The following is a 22,316-nucleotide window of genomic DNA, read 5'->3' on the forward strand; positions in this document are numbered from 1 at the left end:
TTCAATTTTGTCAAAGGCTTTTTCTGCATCTATTGAGATAATCATGTGGTTTTTAACGTTGGATCTGTTTATGTGATGGATTATGTTTATTGATTTGCATATGTTCAACCAGACTTGCATCCCAGGGATGAAGCTGAATTGATCGTGGTGGATAAGCTTTTTGATGTGCTGCTAGATTCGATTTGCCAGTATTTTATTGAGGATTTTAGCATTGATGTTCATCAGGGATATTGGTCTAAAATTCTCTTTTTTTTGTTGCGTCTCTGCCAGGCTTTGCTATCAGGATGATGCTGGCCTCATGAGTTAGGGAGGATTCCCTCTTTTTCTACTGAGTGGAATAGTTTCAGAAGGAATGGTACCAGCTCCTTTTTGTACCTCCGGTAGGATTCGGCTATGAATCCGTCTGGTCCTGGACTTTTTTTGGTTGGTGGGCTATTAATTATTGCCTCAATTTCAGAGCCTGTTATTGGTCTACTCAGGGATTCAACTTCTTCCTGGTTTAGTATTGGGAGGGTGTATGTGTCCAGAAATTTATCCGTTTCTTCTAGATTTTCTAGTTTATTTGCGTAGAGATGTTTATAGTATTCTCTGATGGTAGTTTGTATTTCTGTGGGATCGGTGGTGATATCCCATTTATCATTTTTTATTGCATCTATTTGATTCTTCTCTCTTTTCTTCTTTATTAGTCTTGCTAGCAGTCTATCAATTTTGTTGATATTTTCAAAAAACCAGCTCCTAGATTCATTGATTTTTTTGAAGGGGTTTTGTGTTTCTATCTCCTTCAGTTCTGCTCTGATCTTAGTTATTTCTTGCCTTCTGCTAGCTTTTGAATTTGTTTGCTCTCGCTTCTCTAGTTCTTTTAATTGTGATGTTAGGGTGTCAATTTTAGATCTTTCCTGCTTTCTCTTGTGGGCATTTAGTGGTATAAACTTCCCTCTACACACTGCTTTAAATGTGTCCCAGAGATTCAGGTACGTTGTGTCTTTGTTCTCATTGGTTTCAAATAACATCTTTATTTCTGCTTCATTTCGTTATTTTACACAGTAGTCATTCAGGAGCAGGTTGTTCAGTTTCCATGTAGTTGTGTAGTTTTGAGTGAGTTTCTGAATCCCGAGTTCTAATTTGATTGCACTGTGGTCTGAGAGACAGTTTGTTGTGATTTCTGTTCTTTCACATTTGCTGAGGAGTGCTTTACTTTCAACTATGTGGTCAATTTTGGAATAAGTGCGATGTGGTGCTGAGAAGAATGTATATTCTGTTGATTTGGGGTGGAGAGTTCTGTAGATGTCTATTAGGTCCACTTGGTGCAGAACTGAGTTCAAGTCCTGGATATCCTTGTTAACCTTCTGTCTCGTCGGTCTGTCTAATATTGAGAGTGGGGTGTTAAAGTCTCCCATTATTGTTGTGTGGGAGTCTAAGTCTCTTAGTAGGTCTCTAAGGACTTGCTTTATGAATCTGAGTGCTCCTGTGTTGGGTGCATATATATTTAGGATAGTTAGCTCTTCTTGTTGAATTGATCCCTTTATCATTATGTAATGGCCTTCTTTGTCTCTTTTTATCTTTGTTGGTTTGAAGTCTGTTTTATCAGAGACTAAGATTGCAACCTCTGCTTTTTATTTGCTTTCCATTTGCTTGGTAGATCTTCCTCCATCCCTTAATTTTGAGCCTATGTATGTCTCTGCATGTGAGATGGGTCTCCTGAATAGAGCATACTGATGGGTCTTGACTCTTTATCCAATTTGCCAGTGTGTGCCTTTTAAGTGGGGCATTTAGCCCATTTACATTTAAGGTTAATATTGTTACATGTGAATTTGATCCTGTCAATATGTCAGCTGGTTATTTTGCCCGTTAGTTGATGCAGTTTCTTCCTAGCATTGATGGTCTTTACAATCTGGCATGTTTTTGCAGTGGCTGGTACCAGTTTTTCCTTTCCATGTTTAGTGTTCCTTCAGGAGCTCTTGTAAGGCAGGCCTGGTGGTGAGAAAATCTCTCAGCATTTGCTTGTCTGTAAAGGATTTTATTTCTCCTTCACTTATGAAGCTTAGTTTGGCTGGATATGAAATTGTGGGTTGAAAATTCTTTTCTTTAAGAATGTTGAGTATTAGCCCCCACTCTCTTCTGACTTGTAGAGTTTCTGCCGAGGGATCCTCTGTAGTCTGATGGGCTTCCATTTGCTGTTAACCTGACCTTTCTCTCTGGCTGCCCTTAAAATTTTTTCCTTCATTTCAACCTTGGTGAATCTGACAATTATGTGTCTTGGGGTTGCTCTTCTTGAGGAGTATCTTTGTGGTGTCCTCTGTATTTCCTGAATTTGAATGTTGGCCTGCCTTGCTAGGTTGGGGAAGTTCTCCTGGATAATGTCCTGAAGAGTGTTTTCCAACTTGGTTCCATTCTCCCTGTCACTTTCAGGTACACCAGTCAGACGTAGATTTGGTCTTTTCACATAGTCCCATATTTCTTGGAGACTTTGTTCGTTTCCTTTTACTCTTTTTTCTCTAAACTTTGCTTCTTGCTTTATTTCGTTAATTTGACCTTCAATCACCGATACCCTTTCTTCCACTTGATCGAATCGGCTGTTGAAGTTTGTGCATGTGTCACGTAGTTCTCATGCCATGGTTTTCAGCTCCGTTGGGTCATTTAAGGTCTTCTTCACACTGTTTATTGTAGTTAGCCATTCGTCTAATCTTTTTTCAAGGTTTTTAGCTTCCTTGTGATGGATTCGAACATCCTCCTTTAGCTTGGAGAAGTTTGTTATTACTGACCTTCTGAAGGCTACTTCTGTCAGCTCATCAAAGTCATTCTCCATCCAGCTTTGTTCCATTGCTGGAGAGGAACTGCAGTCCTTTGGAGGAGAAGAGACGCTCTGGTTTTTAGAATTTTTAGCTTTTCTGCTCTGGTTTCTCCTCATCTTTGTGGTCTTTATCTACCTTTACTCTTTGATGATGGTGACCTATAGATGGGGTTTTGGTATGGATGTCCTTTTTGTTGATGCTGATGCTATTCTTTTCTGTTTGTTAGTTTTCCTTCTAACAGTGAGGTCCCTCAGCTGCAGGTCTGTTGGAGTTTGCTGGAGGTCCACTCCAGACCCTCTTTTCCTGGGTATCACCAGCGGAGGCTGCAGAATAGCAGATATTGCAGAACAGCGAATATTGCTTCCTGATCCTTCCTCTGGAAGCTTCATCCCAGAGGGTCATCTGCCTGTATGAGGTGTCAGTCGGCCCCTACTGGGAGGTGTCTCCCAGTTAGGCTACTCGGGGGTCAGGGACTCACTTGGGGAGGCAGTCTGTCCGTTCTCCAAGCTCAAACACCATGCTGGGAGAACCACTGCTCTCTTCAGAGCTGTCAGTCAGGGTTGTTTAAGTCTGCAGAAGTTTCTGCTGCCTTTTGTTCAGCTATGCCCTACCCACAAAGGTAGAGACTACAGAGGCAGTTGGTCTTTCTGAGCTATGGTGGGCTCCACCCAGTTCGAGCTTCCCAGGATGCTTTGTTTACCTACTCAAGTCTCAGCAATGGTGGATGCCCCTCCCCCTGCCAGGCTGCTGCCTTGCAGGTTGATCTCAGACTGCTGTGCTAGCAGCGAGCAAAGCTCTGTGGGCATGGGACCGGCCTAGTCATGCACGGGATATAATCTCCTGGTGTGCTGTTTGCTAAGACCATTGGAAAAGTGCAGTATTTGGGAGGGAGTGTCCCGTTTTTCCAGGTACCATCTGTCATGGCTTCCCTTGGCTAGGAAAGGAAAATCCCCTGACCCCTTGAGCTTCTCAGGTGAGGCGATGCCCTGCCCTGTTTCAGCTCACCCTCCATGGGCTGCACCCACTGTCCAACTAGTCCCAGTGAGATGAACCAAGTACCTCAGTTGGAAATGCAGAAGTCACCCATCTTCTGCATTGATTACGCTGGGCACTGCAGACCAGAGCTGTTCCTATTCGGCCATCTTAGGCTTTTTTTTTTTTTTTTAACTACTCTCCTTTGTACTTAATACATTTCTCTTCTATCAGTTTTGAAAATGTATCTTGTGGTATTTATTTTTTAATTTTCTCCTCTTATTTTCTTGTTTTCTTTCTGGCAGTTTTTTAAAAAGATGTTTTATTATTTTCTGTCATTTATATTTTCTATATTTTTTGTTCTGATTTCTAGGAGAGTTCTCCAACTTTATCCTCCTATATTTAAAATTAATGTTCCTTAAAAAAATTTAACCTATAACTTCTTTTAATTTCTAGGAGTTCTTTATTATTCTCTGCTTATTGTTATTTATTTATTTTTCTGTTGAGAGGTGGGTGCTAAAAAGCCCTTTGGAAGCTCTACACATAAGTTTGTTGACTCAAGGGCTTCTCTTTAGGTTAAGTGGGAGCTACACATTTTGGTGAAGATCCCTCAAGTGTCAGTAATTTTTTCTGTATTCTTGTGGGTGGCTTTTTCAGAGAAAACTTCCAATCTGCTTAAGTTCCTCCTTTTCTGACTCTACCATGCTTTATTACCAAGTGGTTCTCAAACTTAGACATGCATCAGAATCCCTGGGGAGCCTGGGACAACACAGTCTGCTAGGTCCCTGCCCCTTCACACTTTCTGATTCTGTAGGTCTTGGATGGCCCCTGAAAGTGCATCTCTAACAAGTTCCTGGGTGATGATGATTCTGTTGGTTTGGGAACTACATTTTTGAAAACCACTACTCTAGAGAATAAGCTCTCTATCTCTTCCCAGGAAAGCAGTTTAGCTCTCAGGTTCCACAGATGAGTGACGGAATGTAACTCTTCCTCATACAGACTTTCAACAGTTGTCTTGTTTTTTGTGCCACCCCTCACCACAGCCTCCATAAAAAAAAAAAAAAAAAAAAAAAAAAAAAAAAAAAAAAAAAAAAAAAATTCATGCCCGTGTCTGGGGGTTTGCAGCCTGAATCAGCTTGCTTCTCCTCCCCAGGCATTTCAGTTTTTGCTTTCCCTGCTTTGCTGAATCAGTTACCATTCATTCATCTGCTTTCCATCCTATACAATTTTGCCAACGTGTTTCATCTGCTGATGTTTTCTCTCATTTTATTTGTCTATATAGATTGTTTAAACCATTGTTTTAAAGGGGTATTGGGAGGAAGTAGAAGTTAATCCAGTTCTTCAGGCCACTGTAATTAGTCATGTCAGGAATTATTTTGATTGCAAGCCATTGTCTTTCTTTCCTATATTAAGCACAGCTCTTTTTGGTCATGCAGTTAGAATGAGCTGATGCGTCTCCAACCAAAGCCCAGAGACCGTGAATGTGCCATTATCCTAATCATGCAAAGCACTCTCATTTCTATTCTTGCTGAGGGAGGAATGCTTCCCAGAACTAAATTCCTAACTACGGAAAGAAGAAAAGGCAGTTTGAGAATTTCTTGACTGTTTGGAAATTTTTTCTAGCACAACAAGCTGTTTATCCTTTACTCTGATTCTTATTGAATTAAGGAAGGAGAAAAGAAATCAATTCACTCTCCATATGCTGCACAGCAAAAACCACCACTCACAACACTATGGAATATGTAGGGAAGGGGAAAAGAAGATAAATCCATCAACTAACAAGATAAGTGCCTTGTTCCTCCATCTGTTACTGCTGTGTCCTTATCTAGGATTGGAGCATGGCAGCTCCGATATATCTCGTGTCAGGTATTATATTCCAAACCCATATGAATGAATTTTCATGCTAGTAACCATCCATGATCTAGCCCAGCCACAGCTAAATTTGTCCTAAGGCACCAACTGTCTTTTGCATTTGGAAGTCCATTGAATTCACAGACTGGAATAGGGTTGTCTGCTGCTGCCAGAGGATGGTATCTCTCTGTAGCTTTTCCAGCACGGCTGTCTCTGTTGTGCTAGAGCTGGTGCTGATGACTTACTTGATTCACTCCTGAGGAAGTGCTGATGTTCTTCCAGGAGATAGGGAAAACACTGGAGGCCTGGAGAAAATGTCTATAGAAGGCCCATAGATGGGTACATCAACAAGAGATTGAATCATTATTTAGGTGATTGATTAGATGCACCACTCCTCAGATCACAGGGTAAAAATTCAGAAGACTGTTCAATTGGAATGATATCTCACGCTCTTCAGCAGCCCCAATTATGCGGAGATGATTTCCTCATTCACAAACAGTTTATTTTCAGGACTGAGCCTTAACTGAGCATCCAGGTGCAGAAGCGGAGATGATGACATGTGGCATGGGAACCCGTGATTGTGGCATTTTTGACAAGGGCTGAAAGTCGCAGTAGACAGATAAAACTTGTTTGCATCCGTGGTTGAGACTGAGACTCACATTTTATTATAGCAATTGTGTGATCCATCTATGTTAACATCACTGTCTTCATCATCCTCCTCATCGATGACAGCAATAGCAGCAGCAGCAGCAGCAGCAATACAACAGAGGGGACATGACAGCTTTCAGTGCATGGTCAAATTCTTTTTATTTTATTTTAGATTGGGGTTGTACCCATGCAGGTTTGTGTCATGGGTATATTACATAATGACAGGGATTGGGCTTCTAGTGTACCCATCAACCAAATAGTGAACACTGTACCCAATAGGTAAGTTTTCAACCCTCATCCCTTTCCCATCTTCCCCCCTTTTGGAGTCCCAAGTCTCTATTAGTTCTGTCTTTATGTCCATGTGTACCCATTGCTTAGCTCCCACTTATAAGTGAGAACATGCAGCATTTGACTTTCTGTTTCCGAGTTATTTCACTTAGGATAATGGCCTCCAGGTCATCCATGTCACTACAAAGGACATAATTTCATCGTTTTATGGCTTTATAGTATTCCGTTATATATATACGTGTATATATTATATATATGTGTGTGTATATATATATATACACACACAGACACACACAAACACCACATTTTCTTTATGCAATCAATCATTGGTGGACACTTAGGTTGATTCTGTGCCTTTACTATTGTGAGTAGTGTTGTGATAAACACACACGTGCAGGTATCTTTTCTATATATAATAATTTCTTTTCCTTTGGTAGATGCCCAGTAGTGGGAATGCTGGGTTGAATGGTAGTTCTATTTTTAGTTCTTTGAGAAATACCCATACTATTTTCCATAGAAGGAGATATTCTTACCTGTTTCCATCTCCGTCTTCAGAACTTGAGGGCATCTAATACACAGTACGTGTGGTGAGCTGAACAGGGTAAGCTAGATTTGCTGCAGTGTTTAAAGAGAGATACAATGAGTAACTCAACTTTATAAGTGGTAGAGCACTGGAAAGAAGGGAAATGGGTTGAAAATATTTAGTAACAAAATTCAACAATGAAGACTGGCCATATTGTAACAGAATAAAGAAGAGGGAAAGAAGAAGCTTGTCTTTTCCATTTCAAGCTAGAATGCCTGGGTGTATGGTTGTATCATATTTGGAGAATAAGAGAAAAGTCGGTCATATTGCAGAAGAAAATATATTTTCTTGGAATATACTGAGATTGAGGTGCCTGTGAATCATCCAGAGAAGCCTGTCCTGCAAGTAGTGAGTACATGAGTCAAACTCAAGGGAGATGCCCAAGGCTGGAAATATATGCATCGAGCCATCAGTGCACAGGTGGTGTGGTAGGTCACCCCTAAGACAGTCCCCAGTGGTCCCCATTGACTGATCTCCATGCCCTGTGTTATTCCCTTTCCTAACTGTGGGCTGGACTTATTTATTCAATTTTAATGAGTAGACCACAGAAGCAGCTATGGGAACTCACTTCCAAGGTTATGTTATAAAAGAAGAGTGACTTCCATCTTAAGATGTCTTTATCTGTCCTTCTTGAATCACTTGCCTTGGTGAATGCCAACTTCCATGGCATGAGGTGTCACTGTGCAGAGACCCACCCACCTGCCAAGGAAACAAGGCCTGTAAGAAGCATGTGAATAAGCTTGGAGGAAGATACCTCCATACCTACATTTGAGTCTTCAGATAAAACTATAGTTCCAGATGACATCTTTGCTGCAACCTCATAAGAGATCTTGACCAGAGACACTCAGCTAAGCCTCATTCTGCTTCCCGACCTACAGAATCTGTGAGATAGAAAATGTTTGCGTTATTAAATTGCAAGTTTTACAGTGATCCGTTACAAAGTAATAGAAAACTTACATAGTTAGTTAAAAGAATGAGAATAGTTGAGAGTTGAGCTCATTTAAGAAAAGGTGGTAGAGAAAGGGAAGTCAAACCCTGATGCTCAACAGTGGCTAAAGGTTAGAACCAAAAAAAAAAAAAAAAAAAAAAAAATAGAAGCCAATATGGGGGACAGAAAGAAGAAATGGAAGAAACAATAAGAATGAAATGAGAAAAAGCAGGGGCAACTTGACATTATAAAAGTCCAAGGAGTGCGTCTTATGGAAAGAGAAAGAAAAGGGATCAGATTGCTCATATCAAATGCTGCAGATGGTTCGAGTAATACAAGGTTTGAAATGACCTACAAATTTTGCAGTTAGGAGGTCTTGGGTGATCTGACTAAAAGCAGTTTCAATAGAATAGGGAGGATAGAAACTAGAGAGTTGGGGCTTGAGAAATAGAAAGGGAAAGAGATCATGGACTATGTTTTGAGAAGAATGAATTGAGGAAGGAAGGAGAAAGATTGGATGGTGAAGAAGGTCATGGCATAAATTGAGGGCTTTGCATGGAAGGTTCTTGAATGTGTTTATGACTATACTAGAGCCTTAAGAAGTGTGGTTGTGGGGGGTGTGGCACAGAACATTTAGGTTAGGTTAAAGATGACCAACAGAAGAAAGCCATGATACAGAAAGAGTGGAGAAGTTGGGGTCAAGGATACAAGTGGAATCAGTTGATCTAACAGGGCTTTCTGTTGGCTAAGACTGGAGAGAAGATGTAAGAGAAGGTTATATGTGGGTACAAATGTGTTTCCTGGAAGGATGATGAGAAATAGTGAGATTACATTAGACCTTGATTTTCTCATAAAATCAGGAAAGGGGTACGTATCAAATCAGTGCTTCTCAAACTTTTCCATAAGTAAATATCTTAATGAGAGAGAAAAGTAAGTGCATATCCATAGCAACCTGAAGTCATAGTATAATACCAAGAAGTCAGCAGCAATATTGGAATTTCACATCAATTATTAATCTATCCTATTTGTATGATGATCCTTATTATAGCCATTTTTAATATAAAACATTTTGAATTAGTGATAATATTTAACTTTCCTCCCAAATGATTAGAGCACACTGCATGCTTCTGAGAGCTGCATTGTATTTCTCCTGTGGCATTTGTATCTCCGTACACTGCCCTGTACCCCTAAGGGTATGTATACAGCCATGCAGAGACCCAGCTTTACACTATCAGCACCCACTGACACATTTGCACATTCAGATTTGAGATTCATTTAGTTCTCATTGGTCACCTTAGGAAGCACAGTGCATCATCTGAATGCATGAATGAGAAAAGGAAAATTCACTTTTAGTTGAAGAGATGAGGTGAGAAAGCAGATAGGCAAAGAAGACAAGACCTGGGGATCACTGTCTAAACTGGGTAGACCTGTTTAGCATACCAGAGATAGGGCTGTGACCTTGTGGGGTGTGACAGATGAGCTAACCAACTTTGAGGTCAGAGATGGCTTGTGGTAATCAGTCCCAGAGTGTGGGAGCAGGAGAGAGAGACATGGAAGTGTTTAGAGGTGTACTAGTGTAAGTGACCAGGACACATGTGACTTGCTTGTTTTTCCAAATGATGAGCCTGGCAAGCATTCACAATTCCTGCAAGATGAGATTTATCCAAGTACCATCCAACCACCTTTGCTTTTGGGGTGCACTCTATTGTGAGCCCAATTATTTTTTTCTTTGAGGTCAAGGGTTAGCAAACTCAGCAAAACCCACCGGTCAAATGCAGCCTGCCACTTATTAGTTTCTACTGGAGCATAACGGTGCTCATTAATTGACATACTGTCTATGGCTGCTTCTTCCCTACAAGGATAGATCTGAGTAATTGTGACAAAGACTTGATGGCCTGCAAAGGCTAACATAGTTACTATCCAGTTATTTATAGAAATCAATTGCCCACCCCATTCTAGTTTGACCTATCTCAGCAACTAAAACTTCCAGATAATTTCTGCAGAGTTTTCAAATATCCAACTTAAGACATCACACGTCTTAAGTCCAACCCAATTCCCCAAGCCTACTGGAGGAAGGGCTATCTTATAGATCAGAGATTTCCCAGCCTTCATCTGAGCCCCACTTAAGTTTGGTGTTGTGAGGCTATGGAAATGTTCTGTGCTGAAATACAATTTGCATTCTGGACAACTGTTCCTATTACCGTCCCTAGGAGAGAACTTCCCAGGCCCGGCTCAGCCTCAGGGTGTTTTCCCAAATTCACCAGCCTGCAGATGGAAACCGCCTGTGCATTGTCTCCTTTCACCCTTCCCAGCTGTTCTTCTCCCAAATTTCCCTTTTCTTTCCTTTTAGAATTTCCAAAAGAGCACACTCAGAGTTTTAGACAAACTCTGTTCTCTCTTTCTTCTGTGATGCTCAGTAGAGATGATAAACAGTACTAGTTAGAACATTAAAAAAAATGAATTCTTCATATAAAAGGGTTTATTCCATCCATCCCACCTAGGCGCACATTCGCCTTCCTCTGCCTCCCCTTTGAAATCCAGAGCTTCCTGGAGTCAACTGAAACAAGAGCTCATGGCCTCACCCACAGCACTTGGATCCCATGTAGAAGTCGTAAGTTCTTCTCTGACTCAAGGTTTGGGATCAAGTCAACTCTAAGTACACATATGTATGGCCATTGCTGACTACATGTGATTCATGAGGGTTAATGCAGTTTGTAAGACCCAGATGACTTATAATGCTCAGCATACTTGGAGGCCTCCATCCTTACTGCTATCTAGAGTATTTCTAGGACACATGTCATCATTTGAATAGGTCCCAGCTAAAAGCTGGCTGTGGTCCTTCACAGCGATCAGAGGAGAGGCTGATGGAAAGCACATACTTTTAACTGTTAGCCTAACTGAAAAGAATGTCAGAAAGGAAAGATAGAAATGGAATATGCATATGACTGTGTTAAGACACACCAAAGCTGGAAATTATTTTTGCTTTGATAGTCTCCTAATTTACATGACCCAGGCTAAGGCTGCTGCTTATTAGCATGGGTCATTGAGCTGTCTGTATCTGCAGGGAGATGAATATTCTCCTTTAGAGCAACTTCCAGGCTTTCAGGAATTGTATACGGGGATAGAACCACATGGTTTTGCGATGGCCAAGAGGGCTGGTTGGAGTGCCTCGGATGTGATTTTGGACCCCCAAGGTTAGGGGAGTTACCTCCTCTCTGACCTTTTCCTAGCCGCTGCTTCTGTTTATCATTTTATCTTGTCAGAGTTCACGTGCTAACCATGAAATAAAGAGACCCCCCTTCCCTTTGCTTCCCACTTGGGCCCTGATGAATTTTGGTTGCCTCTTCAGAGGCTCCGAAATCCCTGCTCTAATTTCAATTAGAGCGCTCCCTGTGGCCGTGCAGGCTGGGGCTGCAGAATCAATTCCTAATCCCCACATTAGCACTGATTCATCTCTTTCCTGAGCTCTAGCACCGGCAGCTCTCGGGAGAGGGAGGGAGTGAGAATTGAGCAATCTTTCAGAAGAATAAATATGGTTTGTTTGTATTTGTATTTGTTTCCACGCTGCATTCTGATTGCATCCCATGCCTTGACACCACAATTATTATTAATTTCCCCGTCTGCTCTTCAATTCTTGCTGCCACAAAGACGAGATGATGGATAATGTTAGATGTGGTAATTGGATGAGTTGGGGGAAGGGAGAGAAGAGGGGAGACAGATGTTTCATTATGAGATTTTGCATCTCCATTTGGGCCTCCAGCACAGAGGCCTGAACCGCAGCCGCCATCATGCACCGCAGATGAGGGCTCCCGTTTGGGGCAGGTCTGGCCTAGTTCTGCATCTCTGCTCCACTTCCTCGCCTTGTACTTCTGCGTCTTGGGCAGTCGGATTTCACATCCATTTCTGGTGAACGCTGGAAAGCCAGTAAGATGAAACCTAGAAAGCTGGACCTGGTGGCTTGGAGGGTTGCACCCCCACCCTGCCCTGCTGCCAGACCACATCTGTCCTGTGCCACCTCTCAGCACGTGTGCTTCCACGTGCGAGTGTGGTAGCCCCGGGTGAGTGCCCACTCTCAGAGATGAGGAGGCTGGGCTACACGAGGAAGGAGCTCAACAGACTGTCCTGCGCTGAAGCCGCTGCCTTTGTCCTCCCACCTTGCCCTGAGTGAGGGGTTGGAGCAGCTGTCACAGCTGCACCATCTTCTTCTCTGCATGGCATCCAGCCTCTCTGTTCAATAATCTGTCATCCCCACCAATAATTTTTCTGCCCCCATGGACTCATCCCCAGGGGGTTCACTGTCCCTGCCCCACACAGGCCAGCCTCCTGTCCAACATGATGCAGGCTGGCAGGAGCAGTCCTGGCTCTTGAATACACACCTAAGCATGCAGCCTGGCCCTTCCAGGGAGGCCAGGTGGAGTATTTGCTAGGATGAGATGATAGACCTGCGGACCAGGAAGACCTTATGGGTGCTCATGGAACTCTCATTCATGAGAAAACCAGCAGAGGCTGCCTCACTTCCAATTTCTTCTTCTCTGAACAGTTCTCAGTCCATCAGTGCAGAGCACATGGAAGGAAGAGGCTACCTCAGGCCAGAGACACCGACCCTGTCCTTGAGGCACTCCTCCAGGTTGCAGGAGAGAAGGCTGCAGGCTGGAGAAGGCCTCGAAGTCCAGCCTCTCTGTCTAGGGCTGATGCTGCCTGTGGCGGCCCCAACCAACAGGCCAGTGATGTTGGTGACCCGGAAGTCACGACAAGCCTGCTGCATTCCAGTGGCTTTCGACTTCAGCTGGACTGTAATAGAGTGGGAGGAATGGTGGTCTAAGTCATTTTGGGGAGTTTTGCAGGGGGCATCTCTAAAGCCCCTGCTTCTGTTTAGGAGGAAGCTTTTGTCCATCCACTGAGAACCCTCTAGGAGACAGCAGCAATGGCCTACAATAGGCACATTCAAAGAGCAGGGGCAAAATGTGGTGGTGAAGAAGAAGAATTTGGAAAACAGAGTCCTGTGTGCTCCCAGGGAAGGGGAAGAAGGGAGGGTCTCTGGTGCTTCTGAGCTATAAATTGGCTCAGTCAGGTTAGGTGCTTACATTTATTTTTCTTCTCATCAGCACGGACACCGTGGCTGGTAATGGAGCTGCCGTGCAGTAACTCATGCATGAGATTAGCAACACAGAAGGACAGCCGGGGACTGCTGGCTGTAGGCGGGCATGGGTGAGAGGAACTGGAGGGTGACCAGGTGTGGCTGCTCACTCAGGTGGACTCCCACAGGGGCATGGAGGTGGGGGCTTACATTCCGAATTTCTAGGCAAGGAGGGGACCCTGGAGATCATTACAGTCCAGCTTCCTCGTTGTGCAGATAAGGAGCAGAGGTCCAGTTTGAGGAAGGGACTTGCCCAGGGGTGCACAGCAGGCTGGTGGCAGAGTGTGGGCTAGGCCTGAGTCCTGTCGTCTTGCCTGCAGAGGGATTATGCTGTAGGGAGGAGAGTGCCTGTGATGGCTGCACAGCCAGATGGTGATTCCAGCACCGGCCAGATCTGTGCTGCGTTCATCTCTCTCATCAAACCCTCTCTTCTAATTCCTCCGTGCTCTCTCTGTTCTTGTGGTAATTTCCACCAGCTGGCCCTTCAGAGAAGCGTGTGTGTGTCCAGAAGCATGGAGGCCGCAGGTGTACTAGCTGATCCTGTCCTCCCCATGCAGGACTGGAGAGGCCTTGGAAGCCCAGCTCATGTCCCACCTGTGCACTGCCTGTGCAGAAGCCTGTCCCTACGAACAGGCTCCACTGTCAACCCACTCTGCTTGCCAGATGAAAACTGGGTGAGTCAAGAAAAGGCAGCTTCTACCTACTCACTCCACTTGTTCGTTCCAGGCAATGTCCCCATGTTTACTCACGCACGCATTGGATTAGGAGACCTGGAATCTGAGATGTCCCAGCAAGCTTTAGCTAAGGTCATGGTTACCTCCATGAAACTGCTGCTGTAAGTGCCACAGCTGGAGTTATAACGATTTCTCTCCTTTCCTGCAGGTCCCTGCAGGTAGGCTGCTTTCTTTTGTCTCTTAAGTCACTGCCACTTACTTTGTCCTGCAAAATAACTTCCCAAAGACTACACTCCCATGTGGGCCAGTCTTCCCAGGTCCCACCTTCCCTCCTTGTATTTGCTAACTCCTTTCTTGGTCCTCAGCTTCATTGCTATTCATCCAGTAGATGAGGAAGAAAGACAATGTTTATGCATGGGGTGAGGAAGTGGGGGAGTCATAACCCGAAGTGGCTCGTGGCTTCCACCCACCATCTATTGGCCAGAACTCAGTCAAAGAAGAGCTGCTATTACCCTTGACAGTTCCTTGCAGCTGTCACTTCTCCCTGAGCCCATTCCGCCTGGGACCCTTCTCCCTTTTTTATTTGATGAATCCCCACTCTGACAGCTTCCAAGTCAGGTCTTGGTTTGACCCCAGGGAAGCCTCCCTGAAGTCCTTGTCCTGGGCTGCTTGGCCAACCATGTGCACGTAAACCCTGGACTGCCCTTGGTGCCTTCACACTCTTATGCATGCTCCTCATCCATTTTTCTGATTAGACCACCGGCTTCTCAAGGTCAAGGTCTCAGTTACATCTTTTATTTTCTTTAATTTTAGTTTTTAACACAGCACTTCGTATAATAGATCAGTGGTTCTTAATAGAGATTATAACTTACAATCACTAGTAGGCCTTCTAAAATATCTGTGCTGGGCTCTACCTCTAAATAATTAAATTGAAATCTGTGAATGTAGAGTCTAGATTTTTTATAGCCCAAATATTCATTCAGGGTTATGAATCGTAGTAGATGCCACAGAAATGTTTGTTGAATAAATAAACCTTTTTTTTTCTCCAGAACTTAGGAGTGCAAAGGAGACAGGGCAGGGCAATGGGACTCTTTCTGGGGTCCTCAAACTCTCTTGGACAAGTTATGCCCATTTCACACAGTCTATAGACATCAAAATTGATATTAACCATTTAAAAGAATCTTTCAAATTTGTCCTGGGTGCTTTAAATGGAACAGAACAAAATTTCCTTCTTCTAGTTTCAGAATTAGAAAAAAAAAGGTATACATGCCAAGAAAGAAAAATAACTAACAAATATTTTATCATAAGCACTTATGGACCACCAACTCTATGCCTATATCCAAGTGGGACCGTGAGCAGCATATGACATATAGAGGCTTAGATTTTCGAGCTTAGCCAGGAAACCAAGCATATGCACAAAAGAGAACTGTATAGATGAGTATTTTCTCTGGATATTTTAAAGACACATTACTTAGTACAGATAATTAGAAAAGAAGACAGCATACCATCAGGTGCTAATTATGCAGTGCAGAAAATAATGCAAAAGGAGTGAGAGGAGGGAGAAATTCCTCTGGGCTCATGTCTTAGAGAAGGCTTTGTGGAAGAGCGAGACTGGGGGTGCAGCTGGAAGGGGGTCCCATGCAGGAACTGCTGTGGGCAGAGGGAAGCCTTCCCAGGCCAGAGGACTCTCATGTGCAGATTCAGAAATGGGCATGGTCATCTGGACATTTTGTAAGAGATGGGTATGGCTGGAACAGGTGTTTAGAGGAAGGAACATGAAGTCCAGGTGTTTGTGGATGATAGACCAAATGACAGGGAGGCTCTAGCGGCAGAGGTGAGATCTTTGCTGGAGCCACGAGAACTAGTGCTGGTGTGTGATCTGGAGACCCTGGGGTCCCCCAGGGCTTGGAGAGCTGACTCTGACAAGGGCATGAGTGAAGGAGAGATGTGAGGAGGAGCACACACAGTGGCCTGCAAGGAGACCATTTGGGCTACCAGGGCATGAAGGCATCAGGCTCTGGCCCATGATGGCAGTGGAGGGAGGGGCATGAGGCTGTGAGAGCCTGGCCACCTCCAGTAGAACAGCCGGCAAAGCCTGAGACACCCTCCCGCTCTCCGATGACCCTGGCTCCTCTGGGCTGCCGCCCCCTTCCCTGCACCCTGAGCATCCTCTCCTCACCTGATCAGAGGCCATTTGGACCCTGGATTTGCACCTGGGGCACAGCTTCCTCGAAAAGAAGTGGGGGGAGGGATTGATGCTATTTTATCACCATCAAGGACTTCTGAATGTGTGGAGTTTTCTGAGTTTAACGGGCTGAGAAATGGAAAGGCATTTGTTGGCAGTGCCTGGACTCCCAAACTGCTGTGCTGCCGAGCGCCCCGTGGCCTCCCGGCTGCAGGCCCCACTTTCTCTCTGAGCTTTGCTGTGGCACAGACACACTCTTTGCTCACCCACAGTCCATTGGTGGTCTCAGGCAGGGAGTTCACCTTTGAAGGCATCCTCTTTTTAAAGCTTGGGAAAAGACATTTCCCGTTTCCCGAGCTCAGCACCTCCACAGATGGCTACTTCTTTCTAGAGTGTTCTGAATTAAAACAGGCCAGGAGGAAGCCTTCTGAACCAACTGACATGTGTGTGCTCATTTGTAGGAAGAAGTTAATGATAACTTTTTTGCCATCTTGTAAAGCTATGTGATGATATGGGAAAATGTCCTCTGCATGACAGGTGCTTTGTTTGGAGAGCCACTATCGACATAGACGTGTATTTTAGTCCCTATGAAGACACTGAGGCTGAAGGGCTTCTTGGCTTTCCCAAGACTCCACAACTAGTTATGGTTCTTGGTATGAGCCCAGCTTCTCTGAGATTCCTGAGAGCTCCTGCACCCTTCTCCTGCAGTGCAGACAATACTTAGAATCAGGCCACACAGGTGCTGGTACTGCCTTTGGGTGGGATTTTTATCGCTCAGATGACTGAGGCTGCTACTTTATTTAATAAACTTTCAGCAGGTGTGCAGGGCTGGGGGCAAGGGAATGGCCATCTTCATGGCTTGGCAGTCCTTTGGGACTGTGGAATTGTCAATGTCCTGGGTGATAAAAGCATGCACGACTCTGGTTTCTTTTTCTCTGGGGCCAATTCTCCCAAAACCGTATTTCCAATGGCTCCAGCTCAGCAGAGCTGTCTGTCCAAAAAGCAGAGATATTTCAGGGCCATGGATGCTTTCTGAATCTCTAAGTCCTCCCTTCTTGCCCACAATGTCATCTCAGGACCAATGGTTGAGGACAGGGATTCAGATCATCAGCCCCCAACTATCATAGGCAGAGGAGAATCCCTCAAATTTATGACAGCAGGAGCTCCTCTCAGAGATGGGAGGTTGGGACATAGGAGAAGAAGAAAGAAATGTCTTCTGTAGAAAACTCAACCTCTGCAACTTCCCCGTATGTGCCTTCAAAGAGAGGAGAACTCTTGTGATGATAATGAGTAACAGTGAGTAGTCTGAATTTTTTCATTTTTAGGAGGCTTGGGGAACAGTAACTACTTGGTACCAACAACCCTATTATGAATTAGGCCACAAGTATTATTCCCTGCATGAAGAATAGAGACTACTTTTCTCTAGAGGTGGGAAAAGAAAGAGACTACAAAGCGACAAGTACAACGGAAAGACTTTCATTAAAAAAAAATAACAAAGAAAACACAAGCAAACAAAAGAAGAGTTTATCCAGGAATTAGCAAGTCCACAAGGAGCCTTCTGGAATACCCACCTTCCTGGTGTATTGGTATATTGTATGTTGGTATAAAATATGCAATCTAAGTGAAAGGGAACTGTCTAAAGTTCCCAAACCTCAGCTTCCACGTCCATATGGAAAGCAGGAGCCATTTGCCATCTCTAATGTTTGCTCAGCATTGGCTGCAGGTATCTGCCTGGGGAGGACGGTGTGATAACTCCAACATCCACATGTCCCTCCCACACCAGCAGGCTCGGGGAAGGAGGGCTGAAGAGCCTTTAGGTGTGGGGTTCCCACAGGGATGAGCCTGCAGTAGTGGGCTGGGAAGTGCAAGCTGGGCTGAACCTGTCTCCCGTGCAACCTTCCAGCATCATTTCCATCTGGGACCTTCTCATCAAACATCGCTCCCAGTCTCTAAGCACGTTTATTTCCTCAATGTTTTATAATCAGATAGAGCTCAGCTCACCTGTAAAAGGATTACAGCATCTCCCCTTATCTGCAGTTTTATTTTCCATAGTTTCAGTTACCTGCAGTACAGTATAATAAGATCTTTTGAGAGGGAGATCAAATTCACCTTTATTACAGACTATGTTATAATCATTCTATTTTATTATGAGTTATTGTTGTTAATCTCTTACTATGCCTAATTTATAAATTAAGCTTTATCATAGGTATGTATGTATAAGAAAAAACATATTAACCTATGTGGGGTTCTGTACTATCCACTGTTTCACACACCCAGTGGAAGCTGTGGAACACATCCCCCTTGAGTAAGGGGGGACTACTGTATTCCCTTTTCTCTCTTAAAAACAAAATATTTCCTTTCCTCCCTATCCTTGTCTCTGAAAGGCCACGTGTGGCAATGGCAGGCGTCCCCCAACACACCTTTACCCACTTTAAGTGGAGAGCAGAGTCCCTACACACTGCTGCTTCCTGCGCTTTACAGAGCTAGGAGAGCTAGGGCCATACTCAGGGATTTTGTCAGTCAAGGTAAGGGAGGCAGAGAGGCAGAGAGCTTATATCCATCCCACAAAGCACACGTTTGCCGGTGCTATAAATTTAAGGAAGTTGTCTTCACAGGCAGTGTGTTTGCATGGAGTGATGGGGAGAGGGGCGGGAGCAGTGGAGAAAGGGGCTTGACTTAGAAATTAATGACAGCTGCATTACATCCTGATCTGTGGACATCCTCCACACCCTGATTTGATATTACGCTGGGGCCACAGAGAGAAGAAAAATCACCTGAATATATAAAGCCTGTATTTGGCATAGTGTAAATAATTTTAAATGAAACTGTCAGGCTTAAGCCCTGAAATGTGCCTCCAGCAAAAGATAAACACACAGAGGAGAAAGGGGTTCTATAGGGAGGGGGGAAGACATCACAATCTTTAATATTTTTAATCAGTCTGTCATCTCCAAACAGGACACATTGTTGCAGATACCCTTGTAGACTATACATTTGCTGATTTTGTGTGCGTGCTGTTCAACGCAAGCATGATAGTTCCATTTCAGAGGCTCAGCAAGACTTAAAATCTGCTTGGCAGCAGCTGGGCCAGTAAAAGCATCAGGTGCTGTCAATGGGTGACTCAGTAATCGACCTGAAATCTGCAACTGTAATGCAACAGCTGCAGCCAGCCCCGTGGGTTCATAAGGCTTGGCCACAGGTTTAGATGCAGGAGGTGTTACGAGTAGACGGCCCAAGCGGAGGCTCACCCCAGAGGCTGTGCAGCTCTCTGAAGGCTGCAGCCCCACCTCCGCACGATGAGGCTGCTGCTGGCATTCCCACTGTCAGACCACTGAGCTCAAGTTCTGGCTTCAAGCGCTAAAACCTTCCTGAGGGCCTGACCACAAAGGAGTAGAACGATGAATCAGTAAGTTTTATCATTTTCTCAAAGGAATTGTTACATAGAAGACAATGGGTCCACTGAGGTAGGGGGAGAGGCTGAGAAGAATGGAGGGAGGGTCTCGAAAAGCTTAGGGAGAAAGGTTTAGCAGTGGCGTTCAAAGTCAAATAGAGATTTGCTAAAGTCCAGGCTCAAATAGAGGTCTGAGCCCAGGGCTGGACAGAGGAATTGTATTATACGAGGGGTCTGGATGTGATCCAACAGGTCTAAGTTCTGAAGCAAAGCAGCTCAAGGCTGGTGGACATGCTGGGAGTGGTGGAGGCCTTGCAAGGAGGACTGTCAGCAAGGCAGCGGGCATACCTCAACTTGGCACGTCACCTCTGTTGAAGTCGAATAAATATAGAGATGAATGTCTTAATTTGAAACATTTTATCTGGGAAACAAGAATTGCGTTTTGAGGCCGACATACAGTGTGGATGGTCTTTGGTATGTCTGATGAACAAAGAGAAAGTTGGAAGTTTTATAAAAAGGAGAAATGTTATTCATTGTTCTGAAAGAAAGTTCATTGGCACTAGCAAAGTCTTGACCCATTTGTGCCTAGGTTGCAAATTTTGTGTGTGTGAAAAATAAGACCTTGGCGGTGACCTTGAGCAGTAGGATATAAATAACTACTAGCTTAGCGTTCCAATAGTGGAGCACTAGGCATAAGTTGATTAAGGAGCTGGCAAGCTCTGACTGGTGAGTGACAATGGTAGGTAAAACTGGTCTCAGAGTTTGTTTCAGTAGCAGCAGGTTGTTTCAGTCGCTGTTAGATAAAACTGGTTTTCAATTACACTAGGCAGTTCCAGAAACCAGGCTAGCAGAGAATTATATTTCTGAAGCAATGTTATGTGTCCTGAGTGCTTTTTCCCTTGGCCTCTTGATTCTGTTTTGGTTGAGTATGACAGGAATGACCCAATTTGTATAATCAACATTCACACCTTCTCTGCTTCAGAACTGAGCTGGGACTGCCCTCCCTCCTTCGTTCTCATCAAGCCAGCTAAAGTCGAGTGCCCCAGCATGGCTCCCAAAACAGACAGGCCCAGAAAGCCAGTGTGGCTCTTTGCCTCAGGGAGGGGTGCTGCAGGGTAAGCAGCTTGCAAAGAGGGGGTTCAGCTCAGCTCTAAGAGAAATGGGACTGAGAAGGGAAAGGGGAGCCCGAAAGGAAACCTTGATATCATGAATAATGTTAATTTGGAGCCAAAGAACCTCCTTGCCGATAGAGAAAATCCTGTCTACTCGTAAGGGCTTGTGCATGCCTACATTTTGAGTTGGGGCTAGAGTTGATGACACTAGCATGTTCCTTTGAGGTTTACAATTCTATTTTTTCTCTTATATGGACGGATCTCTGCTTCAGCTAAATTGGATTATTTGCTGGACCTAAGCTTCCTGTGCTTTCCTATCTCTATGATTTTCATGCTTTTCTGACTCTTGAAATGTCTCCTCAGTTCACGCAACACCATGTGTGAGGTCCTATGCTGGATGACGGAGGTCCAGCATCATATAAGATGCTTCAGTGTGCTCAAGGGGTGCAATGTTTATTTCAGGGAAATGGACTTGTAACATATTACAAATCAATAATTCAATGAATATCTATCAAGCATACTTTCTGTGCCAGGAGCTGTACTTGGTGCTAGGGATATGGTGTTGAACCATGAGAGAGTTGCTCTCCTCCAGGATCCAAGTGACAACAGAAGGCAAAACTAACTAGCAAACATATAACATGAAGAAAAACAAAGAAGACTAAGTCCAAGAGAGTGTGTCCTGTATCTTTAGATAGGGTGGATGGGAGTAGCTTCTCAGATGCAGTGCCATTTAAGCAGAGACATGAAGTGAGAGCACACAGATGGCCAGAAAGGAGGCCCCCTGCATGCAGTAGAGAGGTGAGCACAAGCCGAGAAGCCACAGGAACCCAAAAGAGGGGTGGGGGAAGGGAGGAGAGCAGCAGGTCAGAGAGAGGCTGGCAGAGAGAGACTTTGGCCAGCCACGAAGAAGCATTTGTATCTTCCTCTGAGGAAGATGGGAAGCCACTGGGGGTTATTCCATTTGCCGAAAGGAAGATGATTAAGGGAAGAGGAAGTATGCCAGAAATGATACTGCGGCATGGTAAGTTTACATACAGTGCCTGTGAGGTAGCAAAACGGATACGTTAAGTAGGTGTTTGTGTGTGAAATCCGGAGTTCAGGAAGAGATTTGGACCAAAAATTTTGGAATCATATGTGCAATGCACTAAATGTTTTTGTCCTCCCCCCCCAAATTTATGTGTTAAAATTTTAACTCATAATTTGATAGTATTACAAGGTAGTGTCTGTGAGCAGTGATTAGTTTATGAAGATGGAGACCTCATGGATGGGACCACTGTCTTTATAAAGGTGGCCCCCGAGAGCTCTCTTTTTGGCCAATGAGAAGGCAGTGATCTGCAACCCAGAAGAGAGCCCTCACAGAAGCCAGACATGCTGACACCATCAGCTCTGACTTCCAGCCTCCAGAACTGTGAGAAATGCATTTCTGTTGTTCATAAGCCACTCACTCCACAGTATTCTGTTATAGAAGCCCAAATGGACTGAGGGTATGCAATGCATGCATTTGAGACTGGATCACTAGGGGATGAGTGTGAGTAGAGAGGGAAGAAGTTTGATTACTGAGCCTGGAGTTACTCCAATACTCAGCAGAGAAGGAAGAGCCTGGAGGCAGGAGGATGAAAAGAAGAGAGTGGGTTCTTGGTTTACAGGTGCCTTATGCAGGAGAGCAATCAACAGTACAAGTGCTGCTGGCAGGTGGAGTGAGCTGAGAACTAAGAAGAGACTGCTGGGTTTGGCTATGCCGAGATCACCTGTGACCTG

At 44.3% G+C, this 22,316-nt stretch overlaps 1 protein-coding gene across 21 annotated transcripts in view, besides 1 other annotated feature; it reads left to right on the plus strand.

Annotated features, from left to right (window-relative positions):
* NTM (neurotrimin) overlaps positions 1-22,316 on the plus strand; it is a 966,208-nt gene that overhangs the window by 65,388 nt on the left and 878,504 nt on the right. The gene's annotated exons all lie outside the window — the stretch shown is intronic.
* Positions 12,011-12,511: an enhancer, noted in NCBI's record as "H3K4me1 hESC enhancer chr11:131317907-131318407 (GRCh37/hg19 assembly coordinates)". NCBI's record gives its function as "activates a minimal SCP1, AML or CMV promoter by ChIP-STARR-seq in naive H9 embryonic stem cells {active_cell/tissue: H9 hESC(naive)}" and the evidence as "EXISTENCE:reporter gene assay evidence [ECO:0000049][PMID:30033119]".

The sequence above is a fragment of the Homo sapiens genome, chromosome 11 (assembly GCF_000001405.40).
Source record: "Homo sapiens chromosome 11, GRCh38.p14 Primary Assembly".
NCBI lineage: Eukaryota > Metazoa > Chordata > Mammalia > Primates > Hominidae > Homo > Homo sapiens.